At 35.2% G+C, this 17,783-nt stretch overlaps 1 protein-coding gene across 4 annotated transcripts in view; it reads left to right on the top strand.

Annotated features, from left to right (window-relative positions):
* Nucleotides 1-17,783, top strand: part of LRP1B (LDL receptor related protein 1B) — a 1,899,594-nt gene that overhangs the window by 1,482,468 nt on the left and 399,343 nt on the right. The window lies entirely within an intron of this gene.

Genomic DNA, 17,783 nt, shown 5'->3' with positions numbered 1-17,783 from the left:
TACAGAATGATCTGATCACCCCACCCCTCCTCACATTCTCCACAGTATTTCACAACTCAGTACCATGTTTATTTCATTAACGACACTTAGAACAATGTGTAATTTTTTTTTATTATACTTTAAGTTCTAGGGTACATGTGCACAATGTACAGGTTTGTTACATACATATACATGTGCCATATTGGTGTGCTGCACCCATTAACTCGTCATCTACATTAGGTATTTCTCCTAATGCTATCCCTCCCCACTCCCCCACCCCACCACATGCCCCGGTGTGTGACGTTCCCCACCCTGTGTCCAAGTGTTCTCATTGTTCACTTCCCACATATGAGTGAGAACATGTGGTGTTTGGTTTTCTGTCCTTGCAATAGTTTGCTCAGATTGATGGTTTCTAGCTTCATCCATGTCCCTACAAAGGACGTGAACTCATCCTTTTCTATGGCTGCATAGTATTCCATGGTATATATGTGCCACATTTTCTTAATCCAGTCTATCACTGATGGACATTTGGGTTGGTTCCAAGTCTCTGCTATTGTAAATAGTGCTGCAATAAACATACATGTGCACATGTCTTTATAGCAGCATGATTTATAATCCTTTGGGTATATGCCCAGTAATGAGATCACTGGGTCAAATGGTATTTCTAGCTCTAGATCCTTGAGGAATCGCCACACTGTCTTCCACAATGGTTGAACTAGTTTACAGTCCCACCAACAGTGTAAAAGTGTTCCTATTTCTATACATCCTCTCCAGCACCTGTTGTTTCCTGAATTTTTAATGATCGCCATTCTAACTGGTGTGAGATGGTATCTCATTGTGGTTTTGATTTGCATTTCTCTGATGGCCTGTGATGATGAGCAAAAATGCATAATTTTTTAAAAAGTATTTTCTTCTTTGTAGTCTAATTTGTCCAGTAGACTAAATAGTTCATGGGGGCAGGAACCACATCTGACTTGTGCCCAGTGCATGGTTAGACTGAATGCCCATATTCCCCAGGTGCCCAGGATAGCCCTGTTTCATGCCTGCTGATCTGATGATTGTTAATAACACCGTCTTCACTCTCAAAAATGTCTTGATTTGGATGATAAATTACATGTCAATTTATGTATGGTAAACACTCAATAATTATTTATTGAATAAGTAAATAAATGGGAAACTCTGACACATAGATGTTATTAAAATATATAAAAAATAAGACAATTTGAAGTGCAGTGCAATGGTTCACTGATGATGTAAAGCATAAAGGGTTGGAAAGACTATTTATTGCAGAACTCCTGTGTATATATGTGGGTGTTTAATTAAAAATATAATTTTTAAAACATTATTGAGACATTAAGATTTCAAGTTTTTTTAAAAAAGCATTTAAAGGCAGATTTAAAAAATAACTTTGCACACTGTTGATGAATATGGTATGTTTTGATTTATTACTTCAGAATACTGCATTTAAATGCGGAGAAAAACTAGGGAATTATTTCATTTAATTGTGAAACATCTTCCCATTAGTGTTCAAAATCCCAGATTATATTTCTCTAGAGTATAAATTTGATTGAATCCTTTCATTTGTCTAGAAAATATCAAGAAACATTGAGAAAGTAATATTTCAATCTATATGTTTATATATATGATATACAATATGAACACATACATATGTACATATATATGTGTATAGGTATGTTTCATACCTGAAAAAGTACATATGTCTATTACATACATCTATACAGATATATATCACATATCACATATGTATGTATTTGCTCATATACATTTATATATATATCTAGGAATGATGCTGAAAACTTTCATTTTGTTTTAAAAATAAAACAATATTGAGATCTAGATTATATAAAATACTCAAAGAGAAATAGTTGCTTTTATTTCAACCTTAAAAAGCTAACAGTTTATGTTTAAAAGATAACTAACATTAAAAAATATGAATGCTATATGTGTACTTTATTTATAGAAGAACTGAGCCTGGAGTAGAGGAGGCAGCTGGATATAAAAAAGTGCATAGACTGGCATCAAAGAGAGCTCACTTTGAATCTGGGTTTTGCCAAGTGTGTTATCTTAGAAAAGTCATTTAACTCCCTGACCTTCAATTTTTTCACCCACTAAGTTAATAGTACCTAGTACAACATGAAATTAGGAGGATGGGAAATGATCTACATACCACCATACCATTGCTATGCAATCGTAAGAACTCTAAATATAACTTCTCTCTTTAATGTTCAAACATGCGGTGATCAGGTCTACCTGCCAGGTTTTTAATGGATTGTCACAGACCCAAGCACTTTCCTAGAAGGATTATCATGATGAGCTTAAATCCCTGTCCTGTGAGAACTATCTGGGGGGAAAAGAAACAATTAATGGATGAGAGATAGCTTCAAAATCAGTGGAGCTGACATAAAGGAGGAGTTGATTTCTCTGTTGGCATGTTTAGGGTATGAAATTACGAGAACTGAGTTTTGAGCGTTGTATAAAGAAATTAGGAATTATTACATAGCAGACAGAACTTTAATGACTGATTGGAGTCTATCTAAACTCTAAAATTTATATAATTATAAATAGTATACAATAAGGTACATAATACAAGAAACTATAATAAGGAGTAGGAAAAATAATAGCAGAATTTTACTAGGTTTCAATAATTAGGACAAATGATTGATGAATGTCCTGAAAATGGTAAGGAATTTTGAAATCAAGAATATTGGCAAGGCCCGGTGCGATGGCTCACGCTTGTAATCCCAGCACTTTGGGAGGCCGAGGCGGGCGGATCACGAGTTCAGGAGATCAAGACCATCCTGGCTAACATGGTGAAACCCCGTCTCTACTAAAAATACAAAAAATTAGCCGGGCGTCGTGGCAGTGCCTGTAGTCCCAGCTACTCGGGAGGCTGAGGCAGGAGAATGGCGTGAACCCGGGAGGCGGAGCTTGCAGTGAGCGGAGATCGTGTCACTGCACTCCAGCCTGGGCGACAGAGCAAGACTCCATCTCAAAAAAAAAAAAAAAAAAAAAAAAGAATATTGGCAAAGGGTTAGTATAGAGATATGAGGAATATAGAAAGAAAGAATAATTTCTTACTCAGAGACAGTAGAAGGGCAATTGAATACATTAAAAAATCTGAAGTGAACAGACAAGAAGTTAATAAACTTCATGTCTAATGGTAACAATCATTTTAGTCAAGTGGAAAGCTCATTATATAGTCAGCACTATGCTATAATTAAGTAAAAGTGACAGGATTCTTCTTACATATTCATATATAATAAATATACATTTATAAACCTCACTGTAAGAATTACATATTGTTAATATCACTGAATGTTGTAAATATTGACCTTCAAAACATTTTATGTCAGAGGCACAATCAGAACAAAATGAAATGGGCATTGAAGAAAACTGCAAATGGTAAAATCCAAATTAGACCGAAAAAAGGCTTCCTGATTAAAATAAGGTCTGCAAATTGTGACCTGTGAAAACTGACCTGGGTAGAAATAATGGCTACACATAAAATAATCTATATAATTAGAAAAAGTGGAAATCCGAGAGGTAGTTAAGAGGAAGATTTTATGTTTAATGGCTTGAACAATTCATTAATATTTTAGATTTTTTAAATCAAAAAATGCAAAGAATGTATGTACTCAGATTAGAAAAAATAATATATATTTAGATTAGAAAACAAATACTAAGGCCAATGAATAAGGAGTACTTGTACTGATCGATTGCTTTAACATCTCTGTAAATACTCACGCACCCATTTCACTGTGGCAAAGAGCATGGGGTCATATACCAGGACAGCGAAGTTTGCACCATGTAGTCCTATGTTTGTTAAAAATTAAATAGGCTGGGCATGGTGGCTCATACCTGTAATCCCAGCTTTTTGGGAGGCTGAAGTGGGCAGATGGATTGAGCCCAGGAATTTGAGACCTGCCTGGGCAGCATAATGAGAACCAGTTTCTACAAAAATAAAAAATAAAAGAAATGCAAAAATTAGCCAGGCATGGTGACACGTGTCTATAGTCTAGCAACTTGGGAGACTGAGGTGGGAGGATTGTGTGAGCCCAGGAGGTTGAGGCTACAGTGAATGAACATAGTGCCACTCCCTCTGGCCTAGGTGACAGAGGAAGACACTGTCTCAAAAAAAAAAAAAAAAGAAAAAAGAAAGAAAGAAATGATTGATGCTATTATGTGTCCTATTGAGAATCAAATATTAACATAAAGCCATAAGAATAGCTTTAATTTTGATACTCTTGTATCTGTCCAATATAAGGACAATATATATCTTCTTACATATTCATATTAATAGATATACATTTATAACAATGTAAGCTACTGGCTGATTATATAATCAAGTGTGTACAGCAGGACCCTGCCACTCAGTTCTGTGACTGTTGCTGTCTCTTTAAGAAGGCTCAAATGCCTTTGAAATAAGTAATAGCAGCAGACCAAACAGCTGGGGAATCAGCACGCAGAGGGAAAAAGAGCAAAGCTGCAAAATGAGTTTACAAATGTTACTAGAGTAACGAGAAAAAGTTGCTGAGATGTTCAAGATTCAATGCACTCTACTAAATACAAGTCCTTTGAAAAATGTGTACAGAATTTTCAACATTATTTTGGACATATATCGTCCACCCCCCACCTTTCCTACTGTTTTCTCTGAGATGTAATATAAAGCTATTGAGCAAATATGATTCATACTCTCAAGGTTACTAGATTGGAGAAAAATGGAACACACAGTATGTTATGTTTGAATGTACTCAATATGCATGAACATTGCACCATTGAAATAGTGATTACGTACATTCAAGTTTAATAAGTAGGTAACAAAATTGTTTGATTTTGATGACTTTCTTTTGAGGGGATAAAACTCCAAGGCTGCTACATTTTACACAAAATACAAGCAAATTATTTTGTTTTCCATTTTAAACAAACAGGAGAGTTTCTAAGGCCTCAGTGGGTTACCTTTGTTCACATCAGCTTGCCATTATATTTTTAAAATTCACATTTTAATGGTGATCATATAATTAATGTAGCAACTGCCAACAATCAGATTACATTCTTGTTCTGTCATTTAAATGTTACTCATTATAAGAATAAAATCAACTTTTAAACAGCTTGTTTATTCTATTTTTCAAAACAAGATTTTTTTCGATGTCTTTCCTAGTACCTTCTGAAGAGGCAGTGATCAATACATCTTTTTTATTGATGGAAATATAAACAATGAAGTGTAGACAGAAAGCAAATTTTGTGATATGGTTGTCTTCTGAATAGTAACAGCTATTGAAAAAAACCACTCAAAGAGGAAAAAGTTTATGATGTTAACTCGTTATAAGAACAACATTAAGGAAAGGCGTCCTGGGTATATATACATTTTTTTTTCTGTATTTAAGAAAAAAGGGAACAATTTCATTTATTTTATAATCAGAATTGTAAAGTATAGCTGAATGATAGGCTTTAATTAAATCTGAAATTTATTCTTTGAAATTGAGGTAAATAAAACTCTGTGTTCATATTACATCATATAAAACACATGTGTTCACAACCCCTTTAAAACATTTTCATCACAAGATGGAATATAGAATAGAAATAATGCATATTTATGTTTGTATATATGTGCATATGAACAGAGAGTCACAAAAGATATTAGGTGAATGTTTAAGAAATATTCTTAGTCCATTTTTTTGTTTGTTTGTTTGTTTGTTTGTTTTTCTGAGACAGAGTCTCGCTCTGTCGCCCAGGCTGGAGGGCAGTGGCGCGATCTCGGCTCAATGCAAGCTCCGCCTCCCGGGTTCACGCCATTCTCCTGCCTCAGCCTCCCGAGTAGCTGGGACTACAGGCGCCCGCCACCATGCCCAGCTAATTTTTTTTGTATTTTTTAGTAGAGATGGGGTTTCACCGTGTTAGCCAGGATGGTCTCGATCTCCTGACTTCGTGATCCGCCCATCTCGGCTTCCCAAAGTGCTGGGATTACAGGTGTGAGCCACCGTGCCCGGCCTCTTAGTCCCTTCCTATGTGAGGTGTACTGGGGTACATTTTATCACTCTTTCATCTCAGTAGGTGCTGATAATTCAGGTTTCTCTCCCACATTATCATAACCCATATGAACACCAGGACCCCATCTTTATTTACTTTGGAACCTAAAAGTATATTGGGACATTGTAGTTAGATGCTCGTGCACGAAGTTCAGATGGGGCTCACCAAAATCTCAGGAGACGCACTCGAAGTTTTCTGGATGAAGCATAGGCGTGTAGCGGTGGAATGAGCTGAACAGATGAAGTAGCTCCTCGGCACAGGCTAAGTGGAACCCTCCCTTGAATAGTTAGGGAATGTCTGCAGATGTGAACTCTGTCTTCAGTTAGCAATTTGGCACTGGCAATTTGGCACTGACAACAAATGGGAAAGAAGAGTGGGGCAGATTCTCAATGATAACTCTGGCCCACTGAGATGCACAGCCCTTATCACCAGCCCCAGAAACCTCTATGAAGGTCCAGGTCACTCACCTCCCTTGTCAGAATCATCAATGGTTATCTGAGTATCTGTGAGGATTTTGGCTAATCTAGATCATCTTCAGTTTTCTTCCAATTCTATTGTTCTGATACATTTGTAATTTGCTACATTGTTCTGGATTCTTGAATGATTTTTTGTTTCCCCTTAAATAAGCCTGTTTTATCCAGTCTTAGGTTTGGCCTTTAGAAATATTATTTTCATTTTTAGATTCCAGAGCCTATTTTTAAAAGTAAAAACAAAGTATTAACTGTTTCTCTCAATAAATATCTTTATTCTCTATATGGTCATATGCATGCCTTTGACAAACAGAAAAAAGTCACTTACCAGGAAATAAAGATGTGTTAATATTTTATGCCTCACCTCACTACATAGGCACCATGCTTGGCACTGGAAATTTAGTGCAGAACAGGACACTGAAGGTGCCTTCCCTCACAGAGCATAACGTTTAGTAAAACACGGGACACAGTGTAGGATTTTAGGAAGGTATATTTGAAGATCCTTAAAATAGTCTCAAGAGAGAAAGTCACAAGTTCCAGCTGTGATATTATCAAGGTGGTAAGAGAGCTTAATGCCTATTTTGGAAAACTTTAGAAATCTTAATTTCAGTAAGCTTATCCCTTGGCAATCAGATGCTAAAAGAGTTATATTCTATTATAAAGACACTCATAATGAAACTAAAAGTAAAACCTTGTTATTCTAAAAATATGTTGATTTAGACTTTCCCCACAGTAAGAACCCTTACTCATTGCTATTGATTATTAAAGAATAAAGCTTTTGATGAACTTGTGAAACCTTGGGTAAAGCTAATTTCCCTTTATACTATCAGTCATTGTTCCAAGATTTAAATTTCATAAAAAGAACAGCCGTCTGCAAAAGGCTTTGCTACTTAGATTGCAGTTTTAATATTCATTTGAGCCTGGCAATTTTTGTGGAAACCATAGATGACAAATTATAATTTTGTCTTTTATGTGGAGTTTTATTGTGAAGACTCCTGAATGTTTCAAATTTAATATTAAAACAGCCTTGGTGAATGACAATGCATGACTGTATATTGTATTAACAAAAGAAGTAACATCGGACACATGTTCTATCCATAATATGTGGCCATGGTAATTCATGGTCACAGAAGCAGAAGATAATGTTACAGATCTGCACAACAGCTGTTAAAAATTAATTTATTGTTTATTCATTCAACAAATACTTACTGAGCCTGTGTCAGGCTCTCTTATGGGCCTTATAAATCAGTGCACATCTCCCTAATTTTGGAGCACACATTATAGTATGGGACTCGAATGATATATTGAATTAAATATATTAATCAGATGGTTATAGGTTTTTTTGAAGCAAAAGAAAATAGGACAAGGGAGCCAGGTGCGGTGGCTCACGCCTGTAATCCCAGCACTTTGGGAGGCCGAGGTGGGCGGATCACGAGGTCAGGAGATCGAGACCACGGTGAAACCCTGTCTCTACTAAAAATACAAAAAATTAGCCGGGCATGGTGGCGGGCGCCTGTAGTCCCAGCTACTCGGGAGGCTGAGGCGGGAGAATGGCGTGAACCCGGGAGGCGGAGCTTGCAGTGAGCCGAGATCGCGCCACTGCACTCCAGCCTGGGCGACAGAGCGAGACGCCATCTCAAAAAAAAAAAAAAAAAAAAAAAAAAAAAAGAAAACAGGACAAGGGAATAGTGGATGATGAAAGCAAATGATGCTATCAAGTAGGGTGACCAGTGAAATAATCTTAAACAATGTAGCATTTGAGGCCCGGCGCGATGGCTCACGCCTGTAATCCCAGCACTTCGAGAGGCCGAGGCGGGTGGATCACGAGTCAGGAGATCGAGACCACAGTGAAACCCCGTCTCTACTAAAAATACAAAAAAAATTAGCCAGGCGAGGTGGCGGGCGCCCGTAGTCCCAGCTACTCGGGAGGCTGAGGCAGGAGAATGGCGTGAACCCGGGAGGCGGAGCTTGCAGTGAGCCGAGATCGTGCCACTGCACTCCAGCCTGGGCGACAGAGCAAGACTCTGTCTTAAAAAAACAAACAAACAAACAAAAAACAATGTAGCATTTGAGTGGAAAACTCTAGGGTTTAAGGAAAGCTGGGGAATAAATGCTCCAGGAAGAACAGCAAGTACAGAGACTCTGAGGTAGTAGCACACTTGTTGAATCAAGGAAAAGCAAGTGGGCCAGTGTGGCTGGAGAGAGTTAGAAAGAGGAAGTGAGAGTTGATTAGGTCAGAACGGCGACTGGGAGACAGACCATCTTGGGTCTTGACATAATGATTAGGACTTTGTTTTTATTCTAGATAACATTTGGAAGCTACTATATGCCTTGTAGCAGTAAAATAATTTCACGTTGTTTTAGAAGGATTATGCTGCTTCTTGCATGGAGAAAAAGAGACTGAAGGAAAATAGAGTAGAAAAGGGAAACCTTTTAGACCTAGCATAGCTCAAGCATCACCCTGCATAAATTTAAAAATGCAGCAAGTACTGTGCAGATACTGAAATCAGAAAGAATTTTTTAATTGACCTATTCGAATGAAGCTCATCAACTGTCAGTGACATTCAAATGAATCTGCATAATTATTCATGTAAAGCAAGCCTAAGATTTGTATTATAGCTGAAGGTCTGGAGCAAGATGCCTTAGAATCTTTCAGTATCTCAACTCAAGAGTGTTCAACCATGGTAAAAAAGAAAATACGTGTTGTAGTGTCTCAAGAATGTTCAACAATGGTCAAAAAAATTCAAGATGAAAGATGATTAGTTTTTTTAATTAGTAATCATTGAAGTTCTATCCATAATATTTTCTACAAAGATTTTTTTGGAGTGGTACTTAAGGTAACTGAATTTTTTACATTATGATTATCACAACGTTGATATTGCTAGAAACTCTGTTGTGACTGTACAGTGTGATTTCTTGATGGACTAACACTCATACCTTCTTTAAAGATGTAACCAAAATGCCTCTCAAGAATATATCGCTTCAAAGAGTTTATGACATGTTTCTGGCCTTCACAGCTTGGGAAAAGAATAATAAGCAACTGGCAAGAAATATCCCATTTTTTTTTCTCGTTGGAGAAATTACTTATACATTAAGCACAATGGTGAAATTTTATATTTATATGAATATGAAATACGAACTATATATAAATTGTTCATATTTATATATACACATACATAATTTCATATTTATATGAAAATATAGTTCATATATACACATATATAATTTTGTATATATACATGTATATATGTAATTTCATATATATTTTTTCATATATATGTGTGTGTGTGTATATACTTATATATGCAAATACATATAAAATCATTTACCCATGCCTTGTAGAGTACACCAGTTGTTGACACAAGCCTAATCTCCAGTCATCATTGGGAAGATATCCCTTATGTCATACATAGCCAGTGTGGCAGACAATAAGTTACTTCGATTCATTCATTTAACCAAACATACCTTTATTTAGGAAAAACAAATCAGACATGGACTATCTTTGAAGTATAGAGTTAGTTGCTAGGAATATCATATTTTCCATCCTCAGAGAGTTTAATCTTTTTAAACATCACCATGTGCCATACTCTATTTTAGATACCACCCACTAGATTATCATTCATGGGGTTAAATCCCAGCCTCGCCACAGAATTACCTGAATTGTCTATGGCTTGTCTTTTTTAAATTGGGGGTAAGAAAGTCACCTACTCATATGGTACTTGTGACGATTAAGTGATTTAGACCATGCCCCTCCAGAAATGCTGGCCCATACTGGTAAACAAGTGGCATATAACAGTGCTTTGTTGAGAACTACATCATACCTCAGCTCACTGTGTCAGAGTTTTCTCATATCTACATTAGAACATGATACTGAGGAATCAATTACTTACTGTAAAATTATAGAGAAAGTGGCAGAGAAAAACACAGTCATTAAATAATTCAAGAATATCCACTACTAGCTTTGGGATATTGTCATTATAATGTGTAACAAACGTTTTTAGGAATGTTTTAAAACTATAATATCATGCTCTAATTACATGACTTTATATGATCCAGGTATCTTTTTGGTTGCATTTATGACTTCTTCTGTAGAAGAGTAAAGTCAGTGCTAATACCTTGATCACGTATGATTGAGGATTCATTTAAATGTTTGATTTTAGAAGACTTTTGTAACCTACAACTTTAACATGGTCAAATTTTATTGAATCTCTGATTGATATTTCTTAAATTGGGTTTTTAGAGGGACCAGTGAGAAGTAATGCTGGAATTTAAGCTGTTAAGGAACCACCTATTGAGCCATTCAAAAGCAGCTATAGGGTGGAGGAGAGGCAAAACCATTCCTTCCTTTTTATGAGACTGCAGCAGGTTCTGGTGTCTAGGATGGACTACAACAGTGGCACCTGGCACGGATTCCACACTAAACTGCCCAAGCAGTGAGAGAATTTGAGTTATATATAGCCAATTTAGGAAAAAAAAAATTGAACTCTAAAACAAAATTCATACAGAAGCAGAATGCTTTGGGGCCTAGCTTGAAAGCTGTTTGGCTTAACAGCTTATGTCACCTTCTAATGTATGAAAATACACATTAGATAGTTCTAAAGAAAAATATCTAAACATGTTCAAAGAAGAATCAAAATTATGTACACCCCAAGACCTCCTCTTTGTATGGACTATTGAAAGGAGACTTGCAGTTATTGAAATTACCAGTTATGTTGACTAAGGCATGAGCAGAAGATAAACCATGGAGTTAAGGATCCCATGTCAAATTTGGGCTTTCATCCATTCCTCTGGTTAATAGCAATTTGTCCCTTACTTCTTTCCAGGGTATCATTCCTTTGTTTCTATTGCTGGATCTCAGTGCCATTTGATCCAAAAGTGATTTCCTGAAATTCTGCCCCTAAGGTGATCTCTGCTCACTCCATATTCACTTTGTATCTCTACATTGGGTAAGAATTCTGCAACTTTGTAGTTGTTTATTAAAAATACAATGCAGCATTTCACTTTTTGGTCCAAAGCCATTAATAAAATAAACTCTCACCGGGACAGATTCAAAGTTTATTTCTTATTTTCCCACAAGATATTTGGCTCTGTTTATTCCTTGGGCCATCTTCTCAATCTGGTGGCTTTAGACTTCAGCAAGCAACATCACAGCTACGCTGAGTCTTTTCCCTCTGAAGTAATAAAATGACTTTCCTTGAGGATATTGGAAAGGAGTAAGCCGTATCTGTGGGTAATGCATTTATTTCCCAGACTTCAAGAACTTTAGCTTCTTAAACTGAAACTCATTAGAAAAATAATGTGTAATATTATTTGTTTTAGTGTAGAAATTATTTCTAATTAAACACATATTCAATGCTATTCCCAGTATCTTTACTCTCTTTGGAATATTTTATAATAACATTATTATAAATGATGAAGGAGGATGTGGTATGCTTTTAAAATATGTAAGTACAATATAGTGACTGAGATACATGAGCTGCTAAAGAATAGACAATGAGATTTAAGTTGTAACTTTACTACCTTCCACCATGACTTATAGATAGAAAACACACATTTTTAATGAATAATTAAATGCAGGAATACATTTTCTATCTAAAAAGGAACAATGTGATGGTAATCATACTTTTGTTTCCAGAAATGATCCTCAAGTTATTTTGGCCATGCTTTATACAGCACATTTAAGAAAGCATTAGCTGATGAATGTCTTCTGACCTCAAATTAATGTGTATTATTGAATTAATTGTATAATGCATGCCATGCTACTATACATAATCTACCACGGGTATTGAGTCTTCCATGCTAAGGGTTCAAGAAGCTTTATACAAGAATCAATATTGAATTTTGCAGGTGTAATCTAGAGAAAATTTCTTAATTGTGAAAGACTATTTTTCAAAGTGGCTCACAAAGCTCCTAGTTTCATTTAATATATTGTCTCCAATAATCCTAGCTTAGTACCAGTTATTTGCAGAACACTGGCTGCCAGAGAGTGTAGCTTCTGACAATGGGTCTGTGTTTATTTCAGTTTTGATAAAAGACTTGTGAACTGGAAATTTATGCTATCAACAGACCTCAAAGAAATGGCTAGGCTGGAAAGATAGCGTAGATTACTAAGAATAACTTAAAATAGATCCAGAAAGAAAGGATTGGCTAAGATTTGCCTGATTGATGGTGTTCAACATGTTATTTCACTCAACTTCAGGAATGAATCCTATTAAATTACCAATCAGTTGTCTTAATGGTCTTCTCTTAGATAAATATGTTTATTCCAGAAAATAAAATGTACACCTCATCTTTCTTTACTTGCACCATATATTTGGCCATGGCTAGTAAGTAGCCCAACAAAAGTTCTTGCTGTTATAATAAAGGACATGTTATATATAGTATATAGTATATAGTATAGGACATAAAACTCAGAGTACAGATGAACCAATGTACCATTCCCGTCAGTGGAAAGATATCCTTCTGAGACTGTCTTTACAATGAAGTTCAAGTACCTCAGCTCCAAAGTCATTACAGTCACAATCCAAGCAAAAGAAAAATAAAATTTATCTATGTTATATCTAAAGAAAACAGGATAATAAATGAATATAAAAATAACAAAAAAATAAGGAATTTTTTTTTTAACTTACAGCCCTAGTACTGAGAAACTGCTCATACACCAATTTCATTACCAATTTCTCTCTTCCTTTATAGGAAAACCTACAGGATTCACATATTATCCTTTTTGGCTATAATAAAAACATGCATCTTGTGTGTTTATCATATGCCATGCATTCTGCTAAAAGCTTCACATAGCATTTAATCTTCACAGTAACTCTATGTGGTATATTTTCTACTATCCTTGTTTTACAGAGAGAAAAGTGAAGTTTCAACAGATGAAGTAGCTTATAGTCTCAAAATAGGAAATGATAACACTATAACTCAAAACAGACGCTTAAGCCTTATTTAATAGAATTAATTTGAGATTTATAGAAAAATTGAGAAGATGGTACTGAGAGGCTTCATATATCTCATACTCAGTTTCCCCTATTGCTAATATATTACTGTCATGTGTTTGTTACAATTGATGGACTGATATTGTTACATTTTTATTGACAAAAGTTCATAGTTTTCTTTGATTTCTTTAATTTTTACATAATGTACTTTTCTGTTGTTTTTGTTGTTTCAGGATTCCATCCAGGATACAACATTACATTTAGTTGTCGTGTCTCTCAGGATTCCTCCTGGCATGGCAGTTTCTCAGAATTTCCTTGTTTTTGATGGCTTAGACAGTTTTGAGGAGTAGTACTCAGGGGTATTATATAATGTCCTTCAGCTAGGGTTGTCCATTGTCTTTTTTTCTCATGCTAAGACTAGGGCTATTAATAATTGAGAGGAAGTGCCATTTTCATCATGTCATGTCAAATATGCATACCACCAACATAATTTATAAGTATTAATATCGTCCTTGATTACTTGGCTGAGGTAGTGTTTGACAGGTTTCTCCATTGTAAAATTACTCTTTCCCTCATTCTTTGTTCTGCACACTTTGGAAGGAAGTCATTATTCACAGTCCACATCTAAGGAGTAAGGAGTTATGCTTCGTCTCCCTGAGGGCAGAGTGTTTATATCAATTATTCGGAATTCTTCTACATGGGAAATTTATCTCATTTTCTCCACTTATGAATTTATCATTTTTGTTATGGGGTATTGGAATATCAATGTATTGGATATATTATTATCCAATAATCATGTATGTTAGCTGTGATCAAGTTGAGGAAGTCCCTTCTGTACTTCTACTTTGCTGAGAGATTTTTATCATAAATGGGTGTTGGATTTTATCAAATGTTTTCTCTGCATCTAAAGATATGATCATGTTTTTCCTTTATCAGTTAATGTGGTGGATTAATATTGATTGATTTTGAAATGTTGAGCTGGTCTTATATTCCTGGAATAAATCCTACTCGGTTTTGGTGTGTAATTCTTTTCATGCACTGCTACATTTGATTTGCTAATATTTTATTGACAATTTTTACAGCTACATTCATGAGAAACATTGGTCTGCCGTTTTCCTTTCTTATAATGTCTTTATACAGTTTTGGTATTAGTTTAAGGCTAGCCTCATCCAGTGGACTAGGAAGCAGTATTTTCTTCACTATTTTCTGGAAGACGTTGTATAAAATTGGTATCATTTGTTCTCTAATGTTTGACAGAATTCACCAGTGATACTCCTTGGATCTGGTGCTTTCTTTCTCAGAAAATTATTGTTGATTCTATTTCTTTAATAGGTTATTCATATTTCCCTACATGAGTTTGGTAGTGTGTATCTTTTAGGAAATTGGTTCATTTCAACTTAGTTATCAAAATTTATGGGACTAAATATTTGTGTTCATAATATTCATTATTATTCTTTCAATGTCCTTGGCAACAGCAAGGACTTGATTTCTAATATCAAGTAATTTGTGTCTTCTTGTCTCTTTAAAAAAATGAATCCACTGTAAGTTTATCCATTTTATTTATCTTTTCAGTTAAGTATCTTTTGATTTTGTTGATTTACTCTATTGTTTTCCTGTTTTTAATTTCAATGACTTCTGCTTCAATTTTTATTTCTTCCCTTCTGCTTTCCTTAGGATTAAATTGCTCTTCCTTCTCTGATTTTCTGCAGTAGAGCCTGAGATTATTGATTTTTGAGCTTTCTTGTTTTATAATATATGCATTTAATGCAATAAATTTTCCTCTAAGAGACAACAGATTTTGTTGCATCCCACATATTTTGGTAAGTTATATTGTTATTTTTATTTACTCTAAATATTTTTGAGCTACTCTTGAGTCTTCTCCTTTGACTCGTGTTACTTAGTTGTGTGTTGTTTAATCTCCAAATATTTGAGGATTTCAGTTTCCTTTTTATTGGTGTTAGCATGGTATATTTTTCTCCATCTCATTTAACCTATCTATGTTTTTATATTTAATGTGGGTTTCTTTTTTCTTTTCTTTTTTTTTTCTTTTTTTTGAGACTGAATCTCATTCTGTCACCCAGGCTGGAGTGCAGTGGCATGATCTCGGCTCACTGCAAGCTCCGCCTCCCAGGTTAGCACCATTCTCCTGCCTCAGCCTCCCACGTAGCTGGGACTACAGGTGCCTGCCATCACGCCAGGCTAATTTTTTGTATTTTTAGTGGAGACAGGGTTTCACCATGTTATCCAGGATGGTCTCGATCTCCTGACCTCGTGACCCACGCGCCTCAGCCTCCCAAAAGTGCTGGGATTACAGGCATGAGCCACGATGCCCGGCCTAATGTGGGGTTCTTGTAGACAACATATAATTGGGTCTTGTTTTTATTTTTTAAATCCACCATGACAATCTTTGCCTTTTAATTGGTGTATCTAAACCATTGACATTTAAAGTGATTATTGACACAGTTTGTTTAATATGTACCATATTGTAATTTGTCTTAACATTTGTAGCACTTTTTTCTTTATGCTTTTTCCTCTCTTTTCCTATCTCCTCTGGTTTCAGTGGAATATTTTGTATAATTTCATTTTTTCCTCTTTTAGCATATCAATTATATTTTGCTTTATATTTTTAGTGTTTTTCCTATGGTTTGCAATAAACATTTACAATTAATCTAAGGTCACTCTCAAATAGTGCCATATTACTTCATGAGTAGTACAGTTTCCTTATAACAGAGTTTTCCCTATTTCTTCTTCACATCCCTTAAAACATTGCTGTCATTCATTTCACTAATCCATATGCTATAATCATTCACTGTATTGTTTCTATTATTATTTTAAAAAAACAGCTATCAGAGAAATTAAGAATAAGTAAATTAAAAATTTTATCTTTATTCCTTTCCTGACACTTTTACTATCTTTATATAGGTCTGAGTTTTGACTTGTATCATTTTCCTTCTCCCTGAAGGACTTCTTCAAAATTTCTTTTGCACGGCAGGATTATTCTCAATTTCCTCAGATTCTGCTCGTTTGAGAAAGTTTTTATTTATTCTTCAATTTTGAGTAATATAGTGTATACAGAATTCTAAATTGATGAGTTTGTTTTTCTTTCAACACATTAAATATTTCATACCAGTCTTTTTGCTTGTTTGGTTTCTAATGAGAAGTCTGGTGTAACTTTTATCCTTGTTCTTCTATAGGTGAGGAATTATTTTGGTCTCTGGCTGCTTTCAAAATTTTATCATCTTTTTATTTGGTTGCCTACAGTTTGAATATGATATGTCTTATTGTGGATAGTTTAGTATTTATTCTGCTTAGTGTTCTCTGAGCTTTCTAGATCTATGGTTTTGTGTCTATCATTAATTTTGGAAAATAGCCATTATTTCAAATATTTCTTCAGCTGTCTCTTCCTTCTCATTTCTTTTCCAATAACATGTATATTATGCCAGTTAAAATTGTGTCGCTATTCTTAAATGTTCTGTTCGTTTTTTATTGTCCTTTTGATGATTGCATTTTAGCTCGAGAAGTTTCTACTGACATGTCTTTGAGCTCACTGATTCTTTCGTTAGCTGTATTCAGTCTAACTGATGAACCCATCTAAAGCAGTTTCATTTGTGCAGTGTTTTTTATTTCCACCACTTACTTTTAACTCGTATAGTTTCCATCTCTGTGCTTACATTACCCAACTGTTCTTGAATATTGTCTACTTTTTTCATTAGAGACTTTAACTTATAATTATTGTTATTGGAAGTTTCTGGTCTGATAACTCCAAAATCTCTGCTATTTTGTAGCCCAGTTCTGATGCATGCTTTGTTTCTTTAGACTGTTTTTTTCTTTGCCTTTTAGCATGTCATGCAAATTTTTGTAGAAAGCTAGACATGATGTATCAGGTTTATGAACTGAGGTAAATTGACCTTTAGTGTGTGTGTGGTTTTATGTTAACCTGGCAAGGAGTTGGATTATGTTTAATGTTTGCCATAGCTATGGGTGTCAGCAGCTTCCATTTCCTCTAATGTCCTTGTCTTTTTCTCTTCTGCTGTCTTTGGGTTTCCCTAAAAACTACTTTTCAAAGAGAGGCTGAGCCTTGCAGCTCTTTCAAATGTAATATATTATATTATTATTACACTCTGGTTATAGTAACAAGAGGCCAGTGATTTAGTGGTAAGGTTTGGGGGAATGTAAAGTATCCTAGAATTCTGTGACCAAACTTCAGTTATCAGTGGGCTTCTGTCCCAGGTCTGTGACCTTCACAAGTTTTCCTCAGCTTCCCAACTCCTTAGGTGAGACACTAAGGCTAGAGGAGAAGGAGCTGGGTAATTGCCCTTCTCCAGCATTTGATAGGGCTCTAGTAAAGTTA

This window comes from Homo sapiens, chromosome 2 (genome assembly GCF_000001405.40).
Source record: "Homo sapiens chromosome 2, GRCh38.p14 Primary Assembly".
Lineage (NCBI taxonomy): Eukaryota > Metazoa > Chordata > Mammalia > Primates > Hominidae > Homo > Homo sapiens.
The sequence above is the reverse complement of the archived record's forward strand: the minus strand, read 5'-3'. Positions and strand labels throughout refer to the sequence as shown.